This window comes from Homo sapiens, chromosome 5 (assembly GCF_000001405.40).
Source record: "Homo sapiens chromosome 5, GRCh38.p14 Primary Assembly".
Classification (NCBI taxonomy): Eukaryota; Metazoa; Chordata; class Mammalia; order Primates; family Hominidae; genus Homo; species Homo sapiens.
This window is the reverse complement of record NC_000005.10, coordinates 148,131,863-148,149,732: the sequence shown is the minus strand read 5'-3', so window position 1 is coordinate 148,149,732 and position 17,870 is coordinate 148,131,863. Positions and strand designations below refer to the sequence as shown.

Sequence of the window (17,870 nt, the reverse complement as noted above, 5' to 3'; positions counted from 1 at the left end):
GACCTAGACTGAGAATGAGAAGCTCTTCTTGAATAACTATCCCAGTTGGTTAATACTGATAGTAAACATCTTTAATATATGAACATTTTTGAATCAAGTAAGAATATAAAAACATAAAATCAACACTAAAAGTAGATTGAGCATTTTTTAAAATCCTGTGAATATTCAGTGAGAATCTAAGACATAATATAGTGTGAAAACATTCTTAACTTTGCAATTAAGAAAAAGAAAATACACCCAAATCTTTCCCTGCCACTTAAAGTCTGTACAATTTTGGTATAGTCACTTCTTTCTAAATATTAGATTTCTGCTCTCTAAAAACAGGATATGAGATAATATAATTTTAATCTCTTCTGGTTGCATTAGTGTGTGAGCTAACATATACTGAGAGACCTTATTCTGGATAACACTTGCTGTGACACTTGACTTTAAATTTTCAAAAGGACTAGAAAATAGGAGAAAAGAAGGAAGAAAAAGATAAGAAAAAAGGAGCTTACTTCTATAAAGCACTCTGTGTTGGCTACTTAGCTAAGATTTGGCATGCTTTATCACAGTGAATCCTAAATTCTATTATAATTTCTGTCTTAGAGATAAGAACACTGAAGCTTGTAGTAACTTGGGTATTTGCATAATCTACAAAGTGGAGTCTGGATTCTAATCCGAATGTTTGACACCAAAGCCCATGATTTTAACCATGAATCATAAAGTATTGAATTCATACTACTGGAAGGCTGGTAATAATCATTGTTTCATTCTTCTAAAGTCTCAGATCTTGTTAAAAGTAAAGACTTAATATTAAACTTGTAGTGCTAGTAGTGGTGGGGATATGCTAATTCCAACTATTCATTTGTACTATCATTCTCTTCCCTCAACTTTTCTAGACGATCATGAGAGGAAACACAAATTCTAAAGGATAGATCAAAGTCATATATTTCCATATAAGTTCACAAGGTTTTATGTGTCTATGGCTAACAGCCTAAATAGAAATAGCTATCCTCAAAATTATCCTGTGGAGGAAGAAAAGTATAGGAGATTCATGAAAATGTGACCAATATATATTTCCTGCTTGAGACTGTTTCCTTAAATGCAATGTGGGTATCAAATGCATATAGGTAACAGCTAATACCCAAAAGATAGTGTATAATGTGAATGAGAATTTGGTTGAATAACCAATATATTTTATATATGTATATATATGTACAAAAGTAATTGCAGTTTTTGCCATTACTTCCAACAAGTACACAAACATACACATATATATATTTACATATGTAAATCCACATATACACATATATGTATATTTCTTTAGACATATAGCTAAGCTTTTCTTTTTCACAACTTTAACAGAGCATTGTGCATGGGGTATTGAGGAAGCACACAAAAAGTGGCATTTGTCAAGCCATGTTTTAAAAGACCAAGATTTTGGCCAGTGTGGGCTTTATAATCATAAAAAAAGACGAATTGGGGCTTCAAATTGAGTATAACACTTCCTGGTTTTGCATGCAAAACATGCATTCATTACTGTAAGTTTTCTGATCTGTGCCACATATTGGTCTCCAGTCTCTTGGGCATGCAGTCTTTAAGCCTTTAATGTATCTGGAACAGTTCACCTATAGTTGGAACAAAAAATAATGCCCTGTATTCCCATTATTAAATTCTATTCTTATATGAAGATGTTGAAGGGGAAGGAAGTGGAAAGAAAACTAGCCTCTTCAGCTTTTCAACAAACACATCTGAAGAACTTCTATGGACCAGGTGTTGTGCTACAGAAATAAACAGACCAGAACATGCGCTAAATAATAAGGGAATTTTCTGTTTAACAAGGAAATATCAATCTCTCCTTTAAGGATTCTAATGAAAGTCTAAAAGAATAAGGAATGTGAAAAATGCTCAGAAAATTTAAAATACTATACAAAGATAAAAGTTTACTTTATCTGCGGTTCTTTTGAGAAGAGGTTCCTTGTGCAAGCTTTAGAGAAGGAAATACCACCAGGAAGGCGCAGAGCAGACATGTTTTTACCTCCAGAGGAGTTACGTGAATCCACTGTGAGCCAGTTTAGCTACTTTCACAGCTCTATTTACACATTCACTATGACTTCATTTTTACAAATACCACACAGAGAAGGTTGCACTCACCTTTGTCCCTTTTGTTTGATCACCAGAAGAGAGCGAAGCAAGAATCAGTTGAAGAGGAGCAGTTGGAGAAAGAACAAATTGCACAGTTAGAAGTGCAAAGCTAAATCCCCATTGTTCATGGTAACCAAAACCCATTTCCCAGCAATAGTCCTTGCCCAGCCCAGCCCTAAAAGAGGCCATTTCTTCATGCAAGTCCAAACTCAGGATGAAGATAGACATGCATGTGGCTCTGATTTAAAAAAAAAAAAAAATCCAGTGGGGAAAGCTCTGTTTATTGAGAAAGGACTGTCACAGATGTCCAGGAGTTCCTGTGGGCATCCTCTGAGTAGGATGGCATGGGTTATGGTCCCAAAGCTTTATAGGTTGTTTCTGAAAGGGCAAGTCATAAACCTGAGGGATCCTGCTCAGGAATGGAACATACAGCCACAATCCTTTTATCCCTCTCCTCAGTCTCTCTTCCTCACACTAAAGATCTGACTCAACTCACTTTTGTTAATCAGGCCAATTCAAACAGATGCCTTCTAAATTTTCTTTAGACATTAACATTTATAATTTAATGAAGGCTGAATATATTACAGTTAACATAAACGCGTGACTATTGGAAAGAAACCCTGACTTGCCATATGGCGAGGTAGCCCAAGCAGTGACTGCTAGACCAAGGATGGCAAAAGCAGTGAAGCCCTTCATAGTGATGGTGAATGCCAATGATGGAGATATGCTGCTCTGAGCCAAGGAGTCCAGAGAGAGAAGAGTGGTCTATCCCATACAGGTATAAATACACAAACAAGGCAGGGTCCCTCCCACATCCAAGATTGACCTTTTCCATGATGATTGTCTGTTAACTCAAGATAGGGTATTTGCTTCATTTGTCAAGGAAAAGCACATGCCAAACCACATGGCATTTAAACATGCCAAAGGTCATGTTGCAATTTGATCTCCGATGTGTAAATGTTGGGAGGTGAGGCCTAGTGGAAGGTGTTTGAGCCTTGGAGAACCCCAAAATATATGTATTTCTCATGAATAGATTAATGTCCTCCCTTGGTAGTGAGTGGGTTCTCACTATTGAAGGACTGGATTAGTTACCAGAAAGCAGGTGTTATAAAATTGAGTTCAGCTTCCTAGATTCTCTCTCTTCCTTACTCTCTTGCCATGAGATCTCTTTGAACATGCCACTCACTTTAATGCTTCTCCACCATGTTTTGACCCAGAATGTCGCCTCACCAGAAGCCAGCCAGATGTGGTGCTATGCTCTTGAACTTAGCTTGTAGAACAATGAGCTAAAAAAAAAAAAAAAAAAAAAACTCTTTCCTTTATAATTTACCTAGCCTCAAATATTCTGTATAGCAAAACAAAATGAACTAAGACAGCTAATCTGAGGGTGAGCATCCCTACCAGAAGTTCCTGAGTAAACCCTTACAGCTGGAGCTCATCCAGCTGCTGCTTCTGAGTGTATAGGAATAGCTCCTGGCTAAAGAATGTGACATTTCCTGTTCAACTCCTCAATGCCTGTTCTACAAACAAAGGCTAGAACATAAGCAAATATGTTTAAGAGCTCACTTTTAGAGATCTTAGCAGTAGAATTTCTGCCAACTCTTTTTACTTAAAACTACAGGAACAAAGTTGATTCCAAAGTAAGAATATAATAGCTGACAGCCTTTCATTGTATAACTGACCCTGTGGATTTCTTTCATGTAAGTCAAGGCATTGGAATTCACTTTTTATCACTAACCCCATTGCTATATGCGGATTAAATCTACAAGTGTACTTTTTCTACCTCATGTCCTGTAGATATAAAATTGAAATATTCTACAAATAAGCAGAAGTGACCATTTCTGCAGATAACTAACAATTTTCTAAGATCACTGAATACAAATTCCATTCCTTTTGCCTGAAAACACAATCAGATAGACAATATTATTTATACAGAGAACACAAGACTAGGATTCATGAGGCTAAAGGATGTGGTGTAAAGAACATGAGATTACAAGCCATTCACTTAAATTTTTATTTCTGATTTATACTCACTTAGGTTTGCTCAGAAAATCACTGTTCCTCTCAGCTTCAGGATCTCCATGTATTAAGGATATTGGATAAATTATCTCTAAGTCTCTTCCAGTTCTGTCAATCCAGGATCTTATCAACCTTAAAGAAATACCTTTTCCTGATTGAGATCTTTGTCAACTACACATTATGTATTTAGCTAATAAAAAACAATTAATTAGTTGAAAGTACAATGTTAATTACAAAAAAAAAAATACACTTAACAGGATATTTTTTTCTGGGGTCATGCTACTCTTTGCCCTCCTTTTTAGCTGCAGCTTATCTAGTATTTCTGAGAACCACCTCATGATTATAGCCTTCTTCAGAGGGAGATGGGTACATTTCATAAGTTCATATTTCATGGAGCTAGCTTATTTCCAACAATGCCAGCTGTTTCCATCAGTGCTAACAATTTTTAATCTGTACCTGGAAGAGAATGCAGAATCCCTAAGTTCTTTGAAAAATAAGTTCCCTTCTCTATCCTTGTAGAGGCTTTATGTTACTGATCAGAACTGAGAGTGTCTGCCCTAAATATTACTTCCTTTTAAAATTCTTATCTTAAAGGTCTAAGTTTACTCAACAACTTTTAATGAGCAATTGCTTCATGCCCAGCATCGCATTCAGCAGTAGGGATAAAAACAATAATAAACTGTCTCTTTTTAAAGAAGTCACATTCCAGTGAGACAGACCAACTTGTAAATAAGTAGCTAGTAAACAGTGACAGTGGGTAATATAGGTGTAAGAACAGGGTGTTATAGGAGCATAACAAATGAATAAATAATTCACATTCATATGGGGAAGTAGGTCATGGAAGGCTTTTAGAATAAAGCAGCATCTTTACCGAGATGAAAAAAAATAGTATAGAGTTTGGGGAGGCAAAATTTCTAAAGTGGAAAGAAAAAGGGGAAGAGAAGGAGCAGGGATGGATAGAGTGGTTATGTTAGGAAGAGGGGACATGTGGAAACAATTTCAAGAAAATCATTCAAGTGTAGACAGGAAGGAGAGAAACACAAGTGTTGAGGCTGAAGAGGTAAACAGAGCATTCATGTGTCAGAAGAAGCCACTTCAAGGTTTTAAGCACAATACCATCAAATCCTAACTTTAGATAATTACCACAGGGGAGAAGGGAATGAAGGAGAAAGGAGTACAGCACTGAGATCTGTTATAAAGCTGTTGTGTCTGTTCATGTCCTTCACCCACTTTTTGATGGGGTTGTTTGTTTTTTTCTTGTAAATTTGTTGGAGTTCATTGTAGATTCTGGATATTAGCCCTTTGTCAGATGAGTAGGTTGCGAAAATTTTCTCCCATTTTGTAGGTTGCCTGTTCACTCTGATGGTAGTTTCTTTTGCTGTGAAGAAGCTCTTTAGTTTAATTAGATCCCATTTGTCAATTTTGTCTTTTGTTGCCATTGCTTTTGGTGTTTTAGACATGAAGTCCTTGCCCATGCCTATGTCCTGAATGGTAATGCCTAGGTTTTCTTCTAGGGTTTTTATGGTTTTAGGTCTAATGTTTAAGTCTTTAATCCATCTTGAATTGATTTTTGTATAAGGTGTAAGGAAGGGATCCAGTTTCAGCTTTCTACATATGGCTAGCCAGTTTTCCCAGCACCATTTATTAAATAGGGAATCCTTTCCCCATTGTTTGTTTTTCTCAGGTTTGTCAAAGATCAGATAGTTGTAGATATGCGGCATTATTTCTGAGGGCTCTGTTTAGAAGACATTTATGCAGCCAAAAAACACATGAAAAAATGCTCACCATCACTGGCCATCAGAGAAATGCAAATCAAAACCACAATGAGATACCATCTCACACCAGTTAGAATGGCAATCATTAAAAAGTCAGGAAACAACAGGTGCTGGAGAGGATGTGGGGAAATAGGAACACTTTTACAATGTTGGTGGGACTGTAAACTAGTTCAACCATTGTGGAAGTCAGTGTGGCGATTCCTCAGGGATCTAGAACTGGAAATACCATTTGACCCAGCCATCCCATTACTGGGTATATACCCAAAGGACTATAAATCTTGCTGCTATAAAGACACATGCACACGTATGTTTATTGCGGCATTATTCACAATAGCAAAGACTTGGAACCAACCCAAATGTCCAACAATGATAGACTGGATTAAGAAAATGTGGCACATATACACCATGGAATACTATGCAGCCATAAAAAATGACGAGTTCATGTCCTTTGTAGGGACATGGATGAAATTGGAAATCATCATTCTCAGTAAACTATCGCAAGAACAAAAAAACCAAACACCGCATATTCTCACTCATAGGTGGGAATTGAACAATGAGATCACATGGACACAGGAAGGGGAATATCACACTCTGGGGACTGTTGTGGGGTGGGGGGAGGGGGGAGGGATAGCATTGGGAGATATACCTAAAGCTAGATGACGAGTTAGTGGGTGCAGTGCACCAGCATGGCACATATATACATATGTAACTAACCTGCACAATGTGCACATGTACCGTAAAACTTAAAGTATAATAATAAAAAAAAAAGCTGTTGTAGTCAATCAGGAAGGAAGGATGATAGCTGGAACCAAATGTTTATCAAATTTTGTGATTACATGAAGGATAAAACTGAAAGAGGAAGACAAGGAGAATGCATAGATTTCAGGTTTGCCTAGTTTTGCTTTGTTCTAATGAAGTTTGGCTGCTGAGTAGGATTTTTCAACCAATTTGAGTTGGGAAATTGAACAGATCTGTGTTTTGAAGAGGTCATTTGAAAACAAACAAATTGTAAAAGATACAGCCCTTGTGTTGCTCTCCTTCCCTTCTACACTTGCCCCCTCTTCCTAGCACAACCACTTTATCCATTCTTGGTCCTTCTCTTCCCCTTTTTCCTTCCATTTTAGAATTTTTGTCTCTCCAAACTCTATACTAATTTTTCTCATCTCAGTAAAGATGCAGCTTTATTCTGAAAGTCTTCCATGACCTCCTTCCCCTATGAATGTGAATTATTCGTATTACAAACAAGTGTATTGCAGAAGGCTATCGCAAAAGTCTGCTGAAGTGAGAAAGAGGGTAGAAAATACATGTTAAAAAATAAGGTAGAGGCCACATGCGGTGGCTCATGCCTGTAATCCCAGCACTTTGGGAGGCCGAGGCAGGTGGATCTCCTAAGGTCAGGAGTTTGAGACCAGCCTGGCCAACATGGTGAAACTCTGTCTCTACTAAAAATACAAAAAATTAGCCAGGCGTGGTTGCCCGCGCCTGTAATCTCAGCTACTCAGGAGGCTGAAAGGAGAATCGCTTGAACCCAGGAGGCAGAGGTTGCAGTGAACCAAGATTGTGCCACTGCACTCCAGCCTGGGCAACCAGACCGAAACTCCATCTCAAAATAATAATAATAATAATGTAGAATGCAAGATGTCCATAGACTTGAGAAATAGTTAAAAGCACTATAGCAAATTAAAATAAAGTACCTAGAATGACTTGCAGCAAGACAGCGCATCATCCCTCAAAATAATCCAAGAAAAACTTTTACATGGTCAAATGAAAATTCTATCAAGAAAGAAAAATATTTTAATTGATGTTTTTTCCAGGCACCTATCAAAAAGTGACAATCTTTCTCTCTGTTCTCTCTTCATGCTTGAAGAATGATTTATTGTCATATGTTATTTACTTAAAAGATTAATTTCAGTACTGGAAAGAAAAGGGGATCTCTGTGCCAGGATGGTGCCCAGGAAAGAACAGGATGTCCTATTCTGCTTCTTTCTATGAAAAGAGCAGTTTGGGACATCATCATTAGTAAGGTCCTCAGCGAGTGTCATTTGAGGACTCATTCATAATCTAACTGGGTTAGATATTGGAGTAACCTTGGTCAAAGTCAATCAGGAAGGCCACAACTACACTAGTTAGCTCTGCTGCTATAACGAAGTACCACAGGCTGGGTGGTTTAAACAACAAAAATGTATTTTCTCACACTCTGGAGACGAAAAGTCCAAGACCTAGGTGCCAGAAAATCCCGTTTCTGGTGAAGGCTCTCATCCTGGTTTACAGGTGGTTGCCTTTTTGCTATGTCCTCAAATGACCCTTCCTTGTGCACATTCAGAGAGAGATCTCTGGTGTTTCTTCCTCTTTTTATAAGGACACCAATCCTGTTAGATTAGGGTCTTTCCCTTATAATTCCATTTAACCTTAATTACCTCCCTAATAGCTCTATCTCTAAATACAGTTACTGTGGGGGCTAGGGTTTAACCTGCAAATTTTGGGGGAATGATATTCAATCCATAAAATAGCACATAGATTTGGGGTACAAATGTGAGCTTCTCTATGTGTTTTTCTTGATTTCAAGCACATATTAAGTTTTTTATAAAAGTGAACTTTTAAAAATTATTACTGTTATTATCGTAAAATGAAGAATGTTGTTGGTGTTTGAAGGTGTGGAAAGGCACAAAGCGTAGACAAGTTGCAAATAAGGACAAGAGCCAGACATTCATCCATTACTGAGTTAGTTGGTCTGCACCAGGGAAACTACAGCCCCAGGGTCAGATCCAACCCATCATGTACCTTTGTAAATAGAGTTTTATTGGTACATAGCTGTGGGAACATGTTTACATAATATAAATTTATTTGCATTTGTTTATACAATAGCAGCAACAAAAGAGAATATATATTACACAAAACCAAAAATAGTTACAATTTGGCTCTTTACAGGAAAGGTTTGGAGATCCATAGTCTAGATAAGCGCTCTCCTTAGTTTCTTTCTTTTTTTTTCTTTAATACTGTGCTATAGTATCCAATCCATTTTATTAGAGTGAAAATTAGGTACAAATAAACAACAGCAAATCCTGATCCAAGATATCCACAGGACATGAGTGCTTACTTAAAAGATTAAAAACTGGTGAAGAAAATGGTATGTTTCAAGAAAATTAGAAACCATGCATACTTTTGTATTTTCTAAAATTATAATTTTTTAAAATTTATGTTGTCAAAAATATTTTGGAGGTTAAAACAGAAAAAAAATCACAGGGAAATTAATTGAATTAGAGAGCTTATTGAATAGGGAAAATTCTGACACCTTACTGTTTTTATATTAAATAATGATAACAAGCATTTATTGAGCTCTTAATGTATATGAGATCTTCAGTTTACGGCATTCATAAACTATATAATATAATCCTCATTGTAACCTGTAAGGTAGAAATTATTAGCCCCCCTTTTATAGAAGAAATGAAGACCCAGAGAGATAAAGTAGCATTTTCATTGTCATAGAGTTAGTGAGTGACAAAGTCAGGATTTGAGCTTAGATCTGCTCAGTTCCTAAGTTCCTGCCCTATTGTGGGATGGCAAATACCTGATGTTCCTGCCTTTTTTACTTCTCCCTGTGCCTATGGCAGGAATTACTAATCAACTACAGAATTATTTGCTGTTGGTTCCAGAGGTAACTTGAAGTTTTGTCTCATTTCTAATTTTAGATTCAATGAGTAAATGTGCATATTATTATATGGGTATATTGTATAATGGTAGACTTCTAGTGTACCTATCACCCAAATAGTGAACATTATATCGAATAGGTAATTTTTCGACCCTCATCCCTCTCCCATCGCTCCTTTTGGAGTCCTCAGAGTTTATTTTCTGTCTTTATGTCTATGAGTGCCACTTATAACTGAGAATATGCAATCTTTGATTTTCTGTTTCTGAGTTAGTTCACTTAGGATGATGGCCTCCAACTCCATCCATGTTGCTGCAAAGGACATGACTTCCTTCCTTTTCATGGCTGCATTGAATTCTGTGGTGCATATAAAACACATTTTTAATCCAATCAACTGTTGATGGATACTTAGGTTGGTTCCATGATGTTGCTACTGTGAATTGTGCTGTGATAAACATCCTAGTGCAGGTGTCTTTTTAATATAATGATTTATTTTCCTCTAGGTAGATGCTTAGTAGTGGAATTGCTGGGTCAAATGGTAGTTCTATTTTTAGTTTTTTGAGATGTCTACGTACTGTTTTCCACAGAGTTTAAAATAATTTATATTTTCATCTAAAGTATGTAAACGTGCTCTTTTCTCCACATCCTTAGGCATTTCTGAAGCCTGAAAGAAATGGGAAGGCTTCAGGAGGACTTCTAATATGAGAAAATAAGAGTTTCAAAGGGATAGATCTCTGAACACCCTTAATGCAAAATGAAATCTGAAGATCAAATTATACAGAGAAATGCATAACTATTTGGTAGTAGTGGATAGATGGGGCTGACAGAAGTATTTTGGCTTTCTTTAGTCCCATCTCAGCATCACCTTCTGGTTTAGAATTTTAGATCTAGTTTTGAAGCCTCAGTGAGATAGGTCTGGTTTTCATTTACCTCCTGTCCATCAGGATATAACTTAAGTAACCCAAAGATTAGTTTACTTGATATTTAGTGAAGCTATTTGTTACCATTTTGACATAGATTCCATTTTATATACACTCCTAATTTGTATACACCCCAAAATAAATCAACTTTTAGCTTTTTAAATCACAAGCAATGTGTTCTACACATTCACTCTCTTAACCCTAATCCTTGAGCCTCACAGTATTTTCTACTTTATTTTCCTTGGTCATGTTCTATTCCTGACCTCTGCACCCACCCTGCCCTCCACCTTTGATTCTTACTCCTGAGGTCACTGCGCTTCTCCTCATTTCCTTGTCTCATCCCATTCCAGACTATTATATCCTCTACCCCACTCTATCCCTAAGCCAAACTCTTTCTCTGTACTCGGAGTGATTACCAAAAATTGGTTAAGTCTTAAGGACAGGATAAGAATGTCTTTTGAGTATATTAATAATAATAAAATAAATATAAAGGGTTTGTGTTTATATTCTAATCAAATATTCAAAATGACATAACAAAACACCTTCTCAGAAAAACATATGTTTTAGCCAGAAAAAGAGTTTTTCTGGATTTCCTATAAGTGAACATGAAGAAGATAAAATCTCATATGTCATGGGCACTCTGAACCCATCCTATACATCCTGAAATTGCCAAATAATAATAATAATTCAACAGGAATTACTCCGAATTTCTCATGCTTGAAAAAATTACTTATTGGCCCTTCTTCTTTTTTTCTTAATGTAACATAGAAAAGAATGCAGCATAAGGGATAATTTATTTTCACTCAGTTACAAAGGAAAAATAGGGTTTGGTGATATTTTTCAACAATCTTCCTGTCATTCATCCTAGAAGAGAAGATGGGTAGGTTAGATGCTAGAACCCAGAGATATTTTAATTGAGCTAGTAGAGACTTAAAAAAAAGAGGAGAAAAATAACAAATTAACTTCCCAAATCCAAGTAAGTCCGTCCCATCAGGCTAGTTCTTCTGGAGCTGAGAACATCTTGCAGCAAAATGGATTTTCCATATAATTTCTCCCTATGGAGTGTTTTCAGAACTAGCCCAGAATTTTCAAGTGAACAAAGCGACTAGGTAGAGTAGGGATTTACAGAGTTTCAGCATAGAGGAAGGTGCTTACAAGCATTTCATCCACCCCTACCTAGTGTCTGCATTCCTCCTCTGATTTCCCACGTCCATTAGCTCATGGCAGCACTGCGTTGCCTAATACGGTGACCTCTATCCACATGTATCTCTTGAGTACTTGAAATGTGGCTGGTCCACATTGAGATGTGCTGTAAGTGTAAAATATACACCAAAATCAAAGACTTAGTAAATTTAAAAGTTTATATTGATTACATTAATAGTTTTGATATCTTAAGCTAAATGAAATGTATTATTAAAATTAATATTTTTATAATTATTAATTATTTGTAGCCTCTAGAAAATTTAAAATTGCATATATGGCTTAAATTACATTTCTATTGGAGAGTGCCACTTTAGAGGCTTACACAAATTGGTAATTAATTTTCTTAGTTCTTCCCAGATTATGGGTACAAGGAAATTGTCAGGAGGTAACTTAATGAATAGACATGAAAACTTACTGGTTTATGTGTTTGGATGGGACCTAAATAACCGAGAGGCAGTTATCCCATTCATGAAAATGTAGAAAGGGGAGCTGGTATGGTAATGAATAGTTAAGATGAAGCTGATTTATAGCTAGTTTAACTTTGTATAGCTGTTGGCTGATGGGAACCCATATCTCCCCACCTCTCTTCTAGACAGTCCTTCTCAGCTATGACAGCAACTTAAGCAGGAAAAAAGTGAACATTCTCTGTCCACCAATGGGTTTAGCAACACAAAAAGACAAAAGGGTAGAGTTTATTCAGTTTCTTTAAAAGCAAATATCTATTATCCAGATAGTGACAAAGAAATCCCAGAAAGGGTGTTCTGCTGAGTTTACTTTTATTGAACAGGCAGTTGGACAGACAGCATTGTAATCAGGACATTTTGAGGGCTCAGACTTGGTGGAGATGTCTTTATACCCTCAGATCACAGAGTCTAGGAGGAAAGAGATGGAAAAGACTGAAAATCAGTGAGTCCATTCCCAAAAGCTCTGTATTGTTTTCTATAGCAAATAAGACAAGCTCCGAAGAATTCTTTGTATATACAGATGGTGAAGGTAGGTGATTCAGAACTGGGGTTTATTTTTTCCCTCATGGCTTTCAACAATCTTCCTGTCATTCGTCCTAGAAGAGAAGATGGGTAGGTTAGATGCTAGAACCCAGAGATATTGCAGAAATGTGGGCTGTATATTTATAGCTGCATCTTAATCAAAGAAATCCATAGATCCTGCATTCTGCAAAGAAGTAGCAATTTAAAATCACTTTCACATTTTATCCAGTTTGATACAACAAATATTGAGCACCTAGTATGTACTACGTGTTGAGGTGGACACAAATATGAACATGGCTTAATTCTGCCTTTGATTACATGCAGCCTTCATGCTGATAAAAAAGAAGTAGGTGTCATTAGCACCATTTTGCAGATGAGGAAATTGAGCTTCAGAGAAGTTTAGTAACTTGCCACTGTCATGTTACGTCATAACTTGAATTCACTTCCTGTAATACGAATGTTTTTCTACTATAGTTTGTTGTAGACCACTAGAATGTAATCAGCTGTCTTCCTTTGCCTGACTCATCCATATATTTGAAATCAGCCTTTAAAACATTAAATGAATATTTAAAAATAATCTTAAAGGGGGCGAGGGCCTCAGGAAGTTTTCTTTCACATAACTGCACATCTTCAACTAGTACCACCTGGGGCACGAGCAGCACTGTCATTCCAAACTCAAATCTCCACTTCATTGCCTATATCAACTCCAGGAGGTTTTCTTTGGTTTGAAAGTAGCAAGCTTCGGTTTTCCTGAATCCTTGAAAATCTGTCATGAAATTGACAGATATAGATAAGAATAGTCATTTATCTCACAAAATAATATTTGTATTTTTCTTAATATAGAAATTTCCTTCCAATATAGCAAATCATCTTTTAATTGAGATAATGCCTTCTCAACAGCACTTAGTTTTCAGAATCTCCTGACAACTAAGGAATGGTAGTAGAGCACTGGAATTGAAGTCAGGATATCTACATTGAACCCAAGATATTATACTAAGGGACTTTAATAAGTGACAGTTTCCCCCAGGATGATTTTCTGTAAAATGGGAAAGACAGTGATCCCTGCCCTAATCAAATGACTATTGTAAGAGTACAAACAGAAAATGTACATAAAACTCTAAAGACCTATGTAAATCTTAGTAGTTACTGTATAATAGTTATTGCATAATAGAAAGTATTATGTACTTAGTAACAAAAGAGTGGGTTCCAAGATACTCAACCTACTTTTCCAAGAAACTTGTGACTGCCTGGACTCTTATTCTATTCTTGAGATTCCAGACTTTCTTAGAGAAACTTCCACCCAGAAATAAAGTTCAAACAACAGGCTTCCACCCCAATATATACATCCTTACTAGTCATCAGAACAATGCTAGGCCATGACCAGTCTGTACCAACTGTACCCGAGATCACACACTTGAATCTTACACAGGGACTGAAGTTCCACCTGTGTCCAGGACACGTTAATTTTTGTTTCATTAACTAACAGCATAATAATTTCTGTCATTATTAATGCCTGCTATGCAACTCCAGTGGAAAGCATACACTCAGAAATGGAAGAACGGCACTCTTTTACAACACCCTGTGTGATAAGCCCCGGCAACATTCTTCATTATTTAAAGAAATACATCTTATCAGTATAAACCTATGGCAAGTTCTTTATAAAGTAGTTTTTCCAAGTTGCCTACACAGGATGAGAGTTACAGGGAAGTGTGGTCTAAGGTGTGGTCTATTGGACTGGCATAAAGCTATTTTGACCTTTCTCTCCTGAGATATATGTAAAGGTGAGTTTGTGAGGACGGGGAACAGTATATTCTGTCAATAAAATGGGAGCCAACTACTAAGAATTTCTATATAATAAGACAGCAAACACAATATAGGGACTAGAGTTAAAGTTTAAACTCCCTTTTTATGGATCCTGGTAAAGAACCAGAGTAGAGGTCTTTAAATGGGTGGTAAATAACTTTGTCAAGCCCACATGAGAAAGATAAGGTCTTCTGATTTCATTCCAGTCCTCGGCTTCCTCTACATTGCTTTCAGCTGCTAATGTGAAACTAGGAAGACTCTAGCTTATGATTCTTGTTTTCACAATTTCCCTTAACAAAGATTGTTGGGCAGACGTTTTTAATATGGCCTTATCTAGTATTGCTTGACTAAGATTTTCAAATCTGGCTGAATAGTTTCTGATTCCATTATTGCCAAAGCTTTTTGTGGCAGTGGAATGGAGCAAAGAGAATGTGAATAATAATAAATAGCTTTATTAAATATAATGCATTAAAATATTGTTTATTACACATAATTTTATCAAACTACAATTGACAATAATTTATTAAAAATAAATAAGCACTATACCATGGTCTGTTAGAAAAAGTTCATACTTTCGACTCTTTTTCTAAATTCATACTTTGGTCTTAGGCATAATAATAATAGTGACATTAATTTTTCAGACACTGTGCCAAATGCATAAAAGTCAGTATTTATTGAATATTTTCATAGGTCATTGGGATATTTGGTTTAGAGTATTTATGTGATTTGCCAAGAGTCTCGTATAAGCACAGCAAAAACTGAAATTTGCACTCACATTTATCCCATAACAAAACATTTTTCTCTTATTTGAAAATTCCTATTTTTTCATGTTACATACCATCTCCCTGAGGATGACTATTCAAATAGCCACCAGGGAGAATGTTAAATTCAGTAACGTACGTTGAAACATCCTTTCAGGAGTTTAAATGAAATTGGTCAACTTTTAATGCTGGGAAATAATTTAATACAATGTAAAGTTCAAGAATATGGGCATTATATAGAAATTGTTTAAATCCAACTCTGTCACTCTCTGACCTCTCTTGGTCTCTGTCTCATCTTTTTATTATAGATCACAGAAAACAAAACCTATCCTGAAATAAGTAACGTTATGTTGGAGACATTGCTCATAAACAATCTATTAATGGACCCATTAAATATTTTAAAATATTAACTGCTACATTATTTCCACTTATTTCAGTAATTACTTAATTATCCTTATAGTGAAAATGTGACCAATTCTGGGTCACCTGACCTAGTGTCACCTCTCTGGCCAGATAAATGTCCATTACTCAGTGGAAGAGAACAAAACCAGAACCCAGTGCTCCTCACAACGTAACCATGGAGGCCAGTCTACTTATGTACTTACAGACGGGGGCATGCTGGCTGCGGTGGTTCCTGGGGTGCTGCTCTCCTCACACTTCCCTGTACTGCGGATGTGTGTATTTGTTTGGCGTATCCTAAAACAGATCAGAGGATGCTTCAACAACGAGGAAGTTCTCAGTTATAATAAGAAAATAAATAAGGACCAACATGCAGGACACTTGGGTATCAAACCAAACTGTATTTAGAGGGAGGATCTGGGATCTGCATTCAACTACTTTCATTTTCAGTAGGTATCATCCAGGCTGTCTCTCTTCTGCTCCAGATTCATCCCCTAGCCCTGGACCTATCCTGTCACATTTCATTCACTGATATATTCATAGAGAATGTTGGAAATAAACTTGGAGATCATCTGGTCTAAAGGTGATCTCGCATTTATAGATGCGAGAATCAGATCCCAGAGAGATGTTTGACTATATTGAGTACCAATAATACGACCTGGGGAAAAATATAACAAGACACAAATGATACAGTCTGAGTTTTGTAGTTGGAATGAATCTTAAGGAGTACGAATTTTAATGCCTCTCACTGGAGAAATATTATGAATCAGACATGTACTTGTTTGCCTCTGGTAATGGGAAACTCATTATCTATCAAGGCAGTGCAATTTGTCTTTTAGCATTGCTTAAATTGAAATTGCTCTCATATAACTTTCTCTAAAACCTTAGAAATGAATATTGTTTCCTTTTGCCTCAGATAACCTGATCCTTCTTTATAATATCTACTCCCAGCTCCCTTAGCTAAACAAACTATCCTGAGGTATGCTTTCTTAATATTTTCATCATTTCAGTTTCTTATGCTAAATTTCCCTTAAAAAGATCACTTGTTATGGGTCTATAAAGTTGATGAAAATGTTGAAGAAAATTATATGGATAATTTAGGCCCTGACATTTATAAGAAAGAGGAATTAAAGGATTTCTGGGCTGGAGATAAGGTATATATAGTAATGGAATTCCTGGACAGTTATATTTATTCCTTAAACGGGAATTTCTTAATTCTTAAAAACCTATAAGGTCTACAGATGAATTTCAAGTACTCCACGAGCCTATGAATATTATGTGTGTGGATTGTTCATATCACATTTTTTTAAATTTTCTTGAAAGGAGTAACTTTCTTCATATTATCTAAGGAATCTTTGGTCTTTGACAATTTAAGGAACTACTGTCTTAGAAATAACAGTAGTTTAGTGGAGAAAAAAGAAAACTGTATTTAGATCCAAATCAATAAGGTCAAAATCCTGTCTGATTTACTCCCTAGCTTTGTAACTTTAAACAAATTACCTGGACTCTCTGAGCCTCAGATTAACCTTCTGAACAATAAAGATAATAACATTCCATAGCAGGTTGCAGGGATTCAGTGACTGAAATCTGAAAGTGCCTTATCTACCATACCTTACCTATAGATGAAGTATACCTACCATACCATACCTACCATACCTTACCTATATCTACCATACCTTACCTAAAAGATGAATTCTTTTAAATATTTTTCCAGGATTAAAAAGCAGGATATCAGGGAGTCCTATCCTCATGTTCTGGGCCTTGCTTATAGTGTCCTAAGAAGGATAAAGTAGTACTACAATGTAGGTCTGGGGTCAGGTGAGATGGGAAAACCAAGGTTTGTCACCATTCTCTCCTTGAAAGCTGGCCAAATGGTGGCCAGGAGAAGGGAAGGGATGCATATAGAGACAAGGGGAAATTATTTAAAAATTATTTTAAAATTCAGACAGCATTTGAGCAGAGTAGCAACAACAAAACTAAAGCCAATAATAAGAGTATTAAAATGAATCCCTTGTATTTAACTTAAGATAAAAATATTTTCATATCTAGCAGTTCTTTTCAATCATCTGTGAAGTCAGCAGCTCAGAGAACTGTCTCCATTTCTCCAATGAAGGGAGTGAGATTCAGAATCATGAAATAATATGCCTCCAGATACCCAGATAGTCATAAATATGAGAGCAGACATCAGATCAGCTATTTATTTATTGGGCTTTCTTTTGTACAGTGCACTT

The 17,870-nt window shown here is 36.3% G+C and overlaps 1 protein-coding gene across 5 annotated transcripts in view, besides 1 other annotated feature; it reads right to left on the bottom strand.

Annotated features, from left to right (window-relative positions):
- Positions 3,453-3,747: a silencer, noted in NCBI's record as "tiled region #6578; HepG2 Repressive DNase unmatched - State 8:EnhW, and K562 Repressive non-DNase unmatched - State 24:Quies". NCBI's record gives its function as "represses a minimal TATA promoter and a strong SV40 promoter by Sharpr-MPRA in HepG2 and K562 cells {active_cell/tissue: HepG2 | K562}" and the evidence as "EXISTENCE:reporter gene assay evidence [ECO:0000049][PMID:27701403]".
- SPINK5 (serine peptidase inhibitor Kazal type 5) overlaps positions 12,351-17,870 on the bottom strand; it is a 73,403-nt gene continuing 67,883 nt past the window's right edge. For all 5 annotated transcript variants that reach the window (NM_001127698.2, NM_006846.4, XM_047416662.1 and 2 more), the window contains 2 exons: positions 15,846-15,936; positions 12,351-12,750 (listed from right to left, as the gene is read on the bottom strand). In NM_001127698.2, the coding sequence (NP_001121170.1) occupies positions 12,742-12,750; positions 15,846-15,936 (100 nt within the window). In that variant the 3' untranslated portion in view covers positions 12,351-12,741. The remainder of the gene's footprint in view (positions 12,751-15,845; positions 15,937-17,870) is intronic.